Genomic DNA, 7619 nt, shown 5'->3' with positions numbered 1-7619 from the left:
GGATGAAGGCAGGATAGTAGGTGCAGACCTGCATAGTAGTGTGTAGTACCTGCAGTAGTATGGTACTGTCAGTGTGCCCCACAATCCTGGGATGGCTCTATTGGCCCACTTTTTATGACCCTTACTCTCCTAGCTGTCTCCGTGAGCAGAACTCAATGTGGCCCACATCTGGTCCGCAAGAGACACAAACATGCCCCTAATATCCCGGGTAAGAGTGAAACTCTAGGCCATGGTGCCTGAAGAAGCTCTCTGCGTGTTCCCATTGAGGCCCACTCTTTCCAGGCCGGAAGCAGTGGAGGTACACCCCATCCAAGCTCTTGAGGCTTCAGCACAGCTTCCTCCAAAGGATTTTCTCTCAAGTCCTACCTCATTCCCCACTCCAATCTAATTCTACATCTGGATCCAGCTGAGGGTTGCTACTTCCTTAGTAGGTCTGTGTATGGAGAAGCTGTGAGTCAAACCCACTTGGCTGCCTAAGAGTTATCATGGTGAAGCATCCTCTGAAACCGAGGCCTGAGGAGGTCTGTTTTAACAACCTACTAAATAGGCATCACAATCATGCAACTGCTCAGGGTTTCCTCTTTTCCTACTGCCTGGATATTAGGAGCTTCATGATTCACAGAGCTGAGGTCCACTTTTCAGAGTAGAATAGATTCACAAGCTAGCAAGATAACATTTTCCATGAATTTGTGGGAAGATGTTAATTTCCAGGTTAACACCTTTGCCCATCCAGAGCTACCTGGAGGGGGTCCTAGCTTCTCAGATGGTGATTGCCCTCACTGACTTCCTTCTCCTTCAAGTTATTTACTAAAAATACTTTATACATTTAAGGAAAGCCCCAGGGGCTGGAGGCAGTGGCGTGGTGGAGGGCAGGTAGTTTGGAGAGGTCTCTGGGATCATGAATCCTGGGTGAACTGAATTTATTTAACCTGGGATTTTATCTGTGTATCCCCAAGAATCACTAATACCCATCTGATTTCAGCCTAGATTGGAAGCCTGGGCTTAATTTCACAAAAGCAGGTCTTCGCGTGCCTTTCCAGCATACGGAGCAGTTGAAGGGAGGAAAACTAAGTGGGGATTTAGCATAAAAGCTTCAAAGATTTGCAGTCCCTGATATGATATTCTTCCAAATAATCAGTCCTCCACTTTTTCAAAGATTTTATGACTTTTCTTATCCAAAACAGTAAAACAAATGCAAGCTTTGATGTTTCTGAAAACCAGCTCCAGGCAGAACCTTGAACGTGTCTCAAGTTGTGATCACAGAAGCAATGAGCTCCTGCTGGGGCTGAGGTTCTGAAGGGCATTTCATGATAAATTTATCAAAGCCACAGGAGCCAAATCTTTATAAATAATTCTAGCATCCTTCATTACTCATTATTTGCCATCAGCCCACTGGGGGCAATTAGTTTTCATAGAAAGGAGAGGCTTCCCATTTACAGAGTTGCAATCGCAGCAGTTTTATTTTTATGAACCTTTCATTTCCTCAATCTCCAGATTAATTTTTGCAATGTTGGATTTTTTTTTATTTATGAAAGTCCTGTAAAACAGCAGTGTTGCAACTGAATCTAAGGATTTATCCATTCATTTTGGGGTCCTCTCCTAATGAAATGAGCCCCCACTCTTTGCTGGGTGGTGTGTTAGGAAGAGGATGTGAAATCCATGCAGACATGTCTGGAGAAATTCACATGAGTTGGAGAAATTCACAGAGGTGAAAACAGTTAGAGTTCAATGGGAGAATGCCATCACAGAGGCTATGAAAAGCAGATAAAGAGTAAAAGGAAAGACAGCTGGGTTTTGGAGGATGTATAGAAGTTAGACAAATGGAGGAGGAAGACAGGTTCTTTCAGGAAGATGGAACAGGGTGTATGATTACATGAAGGTCTGAATCAGCATGGAGGTCTGAGAGCAAAGAGAATCTTTCCCACTACTGTTGGATCCTGAGAAGGCAGCAAGATCTGAGAGAGAGGAGGGTTGTACAGTGTGTCTAGGCAGAACAGGCTCATTCCCTGCTGTTTTGAGAGTAGAAATATACAATCCCTGGTGTGTCTGCCATTTAGAAAATACAAACAGCTTAAAATTCATTTTTGCAAATTATAGAAAGATATTAATAAAATTAAAATTTAGAGAGAAGGAAAGGAGATTGATTTTGAGGAAAACAAAAAAGAAAACTTTGTCGTGCTGGGTGCACCTGTGGTCCCAGCTACTCAGGACCCCAGGAGTTTGAGTCCAGCCTGAGCAGCATAGCAAGACCCCATTTCTTAAAACAAACAAATTTTATTAGAGAGTAAAAGAAAAGTAGGCAAAAGAATAATTTCTTGAGTTCGTCTTGGAAACTTTAATATGTATATATACGTGTATATATGGTGTGTGTGTGTGTGTGTGTGTGTATACATATACGAACACACTAGTTTGTGTTTTTAAAATTGAGGTATAAGTCACATACAGTAAAATTTACAAATCTTAAGCTTGATGAATTCTCACATATGCATACACCAAGACACAGAACATTTCTATCATGTGAGAATGTTCCTTCATGCCCCTTTCCAGGCAATCCTCCTAGTCCAGGGGTAACCACCATTCTGACTTCTATCCCCATAGATTACTTTTGCCTGTTCTTGAACTCCCTCTAAGTGGAATTATTCAACATGTGTTCTTTTGTGTGTTTTTTCTTTTGCCTAGCAAAATGCTTGTGAGACTCACCTATCTTTTTGCATACTCAGTAGTTTGGCCTTTTTTATTGCCGTATTGTATTCCACAATATAAATATGCCACAGTCTGTTTATCCATTCTCCTGTTGATGGACATTTGGGTTTTTTACAGTTTTTGGCTATTGTGAATAAGTTTGTTATGAACATTTTTATACATTTTTTGGACATGCACTCATTTCTCTTAGATATCTGCCTGCTTGTGGAGTGGCAGACTAAAGTCATTGTACCAGTTTATACTTCCACTGGCAGTGTATGAGGGTAAATTCTATTTTTAAGAAAAATAATTCAGCATCAAGTAAGTATGCCTGGACGCTTGCATTTCTGGAAGACTTACCAAATGAACAGAGGGCTGAAAGTCAGAATCCCTAAGTCTAAAGTTTAAGCCCTGCCTCCCAGCCCTGAATGTTGTGCTGATAACCTAATTTTCCCATGTCCTGGTTTGTCTCTAATATAAGTGGCTTGGATCTGATCTCTAAAGTTAGCAAAATTCTGTGGGTGGCAGTATGATAGTTAAATGTTATCTCATGTTTCCTCTGTATTTCCTTTCATGATCTCTGATTCCCACACCCAGGTGGGCCAGCAAGACCCTACATCATTCCTTGCCTCAGGAAGGGAAGACACAACAAAAAGTAGGTAAGACAGACTCCTGGCTTTTGAGTTCCAAAAGCCAAACCTTTGGCAGGGAGTGGGAAGAACTCAGAGCTGAGTAATTTGAAAGACTACAGGATGAATAAAAGTAAAGATTCCATTTTCCTGCTCTGTCCAGCCTTGCCCCTCAACCTGAAAAGATTCATTGAATGGGGTATGAATAGAGATGGAAAGGAAGAAAGGAGCCAGTGATGTCCGTGAGAAAGGGTGGCAGCGCTGAAAACAACCACCATTTTATTATGTTTCACAATTTTGTGGGCTAGGAATTCAGGCAGGGCTCAGCTGGGTGATTCTTCTGTTCCATGTGGCATTAACTGGGGATACTCAGCAGTATTCAGCTGGAGAGGATGGCTCATCCAAGGTGGCTTCTCTCACATAGCAGTGTGGCTGGAAGGCTCAGCTGGGGACTCATGACTGGTGTCCCTAAACATGGCTTCTCCAGTAAAGGGGAATTCAGAGTGGTTGGGCTTCTTATATGGTGGCTCAGTGCTTCCACAGAGATTGTTTCAAGAGTCAGGAAACTGCTAGATTCTTAAGGCCTGGGTCAGGCAATAGATACAAGGTCACAGTCACAGTGTTCCTTTTGCTGTATTCTACTGTTCAAAGCCGTCATAAAGCCCACCCACATTAAAGGGGAGGAGACATAAATCTTACCTCTTGAGAGGAGGAATGTAAAAAAAAAATGTAGATAATAGCTGCTCTTGCCACAGGGGAAAATGGGTAACTATGTGAGATGATGAACGTGTTAATTTGTTCCAATATAGTAACCATTATACTACCTATGTATCTAATAACATCATGTTGTATACCTTAAGTATGCACAATAAAATGTATTTATAAAAAGAATTTGTAGCCATGATAATCTACCACAAAGGGTAGAAGCTCTCTTCCCTGCCCCCTTCCCTAGACCAAGCCCTGGTGAGGAGGAAGAACAGACTCCCTAAATTGGCTTGTAAGGTATAACAGCAGATGGGTACCACTTCTGGGGTTGTGCCTGGGAGAATAGACTCTGAGAAGAGATGGCTGTGTGACGTGCACAGAAAAATGGGGCTTTGTCTAACAGAGTTCCCTGAGTCCCAGCATGGTGTGGGAATAGAGGAATTACTCCCATATGTTCAGGAGCATGGAAGACACACATAAAGAGTTGGTCTCAAAAGGCTGGCAGAGAATGTCAGATGGGATGTTGGGCATGTCAGTCATGCCCTTGTAGATGGATGATAGTGAGAAACTACATCATTACTCCCCTCACCTCCCACCATCACACCCTCACCTTGATACCTTGGGTTTATGAAGGGCCTGGGAAATTAGACAGAGCCCAAGAGAGCAGAATGGAACTTTTTGCAGGTTGGGTTCCTTGGGCAGCAGATTCTGAGATAGAGATTAGCCTGCAGGATGTTTGCTGGGGTGTGCTCTTGGGATAAATTCTTGTGGAGGGGAGGAAACGGAAGCAAGACTGAGCAGAGGAAGAAGCTGGACTGCAATACATTCTCAATGGAGAGCTCAGCCAACCCTTCAGGTAGATCTGGAGCTGGGACGGCCCTTCAGAGTTGTCCTGAATTGGAGGAAGAGAACACCCCTTCATTGATCAGGCCTTGGTTGCAGTCGCAGGGAAAGGGAAACTGACCTTAAGTGAGGAGGCTCCCTTTGGCTAAGCCAATCCCCAAAGGGTCTGACAGCTGAGGGCTGACTGCCAGTAGCACTCCCAGCAGCCAGGAAAAATTTTTTTTATTCTTAAAGGGAGATCTGGAAGCACATTCCAGTATCTACCACTGGACTTATCATAAAAATTATGATGAACCATAAAATGATGAAAAAAGTTTCATTTCTTGCCACCTACATTTGTGAACTGTGATTCATGCCTCCAACATGTGAATTCCATGAGTTCCAGAAAAGAACCATACGAGCTGTTATTCTGATATAACAAGACTGGTGATCTTCTCCGCACCCTTTAGAAAGAGGGAAGGCCCCTCATCTTCCTTCCTTCCCCACAGTCCGTCCCAGTTCCAGAGTTACGTGTGGGGTTGGCTGAGGTCTCCATTGAGAATGCATTGCAGCCCAGCTTCTCCCTCTGTTCAATCCTCCTCCCATCTCCTGCCCTCCACAGGACTTGATCCCAAGAGCACCCCCTAACAAACACCCTGCAGGCTAATCTCTATTTGCCTATAAACTGCCAAACGTCATGTGCAAGTAAGGGATTGTTTTTTATATTTTCTCCAGTGAAAGGATACAGAGGTGCACAAGACAAGAGCTCCTTATTTCTTGGTTTTCCTAGAGCCATGAATCAAATAGGAGAGGGATGAAGAGGCTGGGAATACAACTGCCTTAGACCATACATGAGCCCCTTTGCCAGGCTGTCTGTGAGACATGTTTATTTTATGCTAGTGGCTACTTAAAATTAAATAATGTGTTATGTCTTGGACCCCTTTTCATCTTCAAAATGGGGCTGACTTGTTGTGAGCAGCAAAGACAGAAAATGAGCTGGTCAGAAAGCTGAACCAGGTGGTAACATATTGTGCAAGTGAAAACTCCCAGGTCCCTCAGGCAGAAACTTTGGGGATCCCTATCCAACAATACAGAGGAAGGATGTCTTCCTGAGGGGCTGTCTTCGTTTGTTTGGGCTGCTATAACAAAGTGCTGTAGACTGGGTGGCTAATAAACAACAGAAATGCATTCCTCGCAGTTCTGGGAGTTGTAAGTCTGAGATCAGGGGACCAGCGTGGTTGGTTCTGGTGATGACTCTCTTCCCGGTTGCAGACCGGCAACTTCTCATTGTGTCCTCACATGGTAAAAAGAGGGCAAGGGAGTGCTTGAGGGTTCTTTTCATAAAGGCACTAATTCCATTCATGGAGGCTCCACCCTCATGACTTAATCACCTCCCAAAGGCCCCGCCTTTTAATGCCATTACGTTGGGAGTCAGGATTCAACATATAAACGTGGGAGAGGGGATACCAGCATTTGACCACTGTAGTGGCCATTGGTCTGTCCATGCTGCTTGGTAGAGCTTTCTGTGGTGATGAAAATGTTCTGTTCTGTCCAATGTGGTAGCTATTGGGCACTTGAAGTGTAGCTGGTATGGTTGAGGTGCTGAATCTTCAATTTCACTTAATTTGGCTGGTCGACTCTATTGGACAGCTAGGTCTGGGGTCTTGCTCTCTAAGCATGGTTTGGGGAACAGCAGCACGGGCATCACTTGGGAGCTTGAGAGAAAATGCAGCCATTCAGGTCCCACTTCAGACCTGTGACTTAGAATCTGCATCTTATCAAGAGTCCCTAGGGGATTTGTGTGTCTAACTGAAGATGAATTTTTAAGGCTCCCTCCCCCAACAAAGCCTTACATTCTGTCATCCTATGATCCAATATGGAGGAGAGTGAACAGAGGATTGGCAAAGAATGGCAAGATTCTAGATTTCAAAAGAGAAGAACTGACTTAGACACAGGTGGTTTCCCAGCAGTGGGTCGTGAAGTGGAGGAATGTTCTGTGAAGGGGTAGCCTCTGGTGGAAATTTTGCTGTGAACACCCAGGAGAACAGCGGGGAATCCGCTCAGAAGACCTCTCCTGCTTGCTCGAAGGACAGCGGGCTCTGATCAGAATCCTCCTGGGTGATCACCCACCAGCCCTTTGAGATGGCTGGGGAAAGCCTGAAAAACCACCCCCTCTTTGTCTCTCATCTTGTCAAATTCAGAATCTTCTCAACTGATTGGAAAATATCTGTCGTGCTCTTCTTTGGGGTCAAACACATTTTATTTTATCTTTTGTGTCTCAGATGGATCCTTTTCCTTTTTCCTCTCCCCCATCCTCCACCTGATTTCTACTTTAGTTCTAGCTGTCAAGGCTGTTATTTCAACCCATTCCTACTTGTTTTAATTGCTACATCAGTTTTCTGAGAAAACCCAGAGTTACTGTGATTTCTGTCTGCCCTCCCCCACCTCCCCCACTAGGTTTGATGTCTGTCTTTTTAAACAAGCTTTCCTCGCCTTCATTCCCTTGGGGCTTGGTGCCTGTTTCTTTCTCCACATGGCAGTCATTTTCACTTTTCCTACATTCTTGTTATTTATCTGTAAGAGCCATTAAATCCCAGGCAATAACACTTGCCCTCAGTAGAAGACATGCTCAACGTCACTGTGCTCTAGTGTTCTTTTTGAGGCTGCCACATATTTTTTGAAGAAAAGTTTGTGAATATGTCTTATATCCCCAGGACCTCTCTGTTAGCAAAACAGCAAGGCTTTTTGCTGCCCAAGCTAGAAGTCCTCTCCCTTCCCCAA

This window comes from Homo sapiens, chromosome 3 (genome assembly GCF_000001405.40).
Source record: "Homo sapiens chromosome 3, GRCh38.p14 Primary Assembly".
NCBI lineage: Eukaryota > Metazoa > Chordata > Mammalia > Primates > Hominidae > Homo > Homo sapiens.
Note: the sequence above shows the minus strand (reverse complement) of the source record.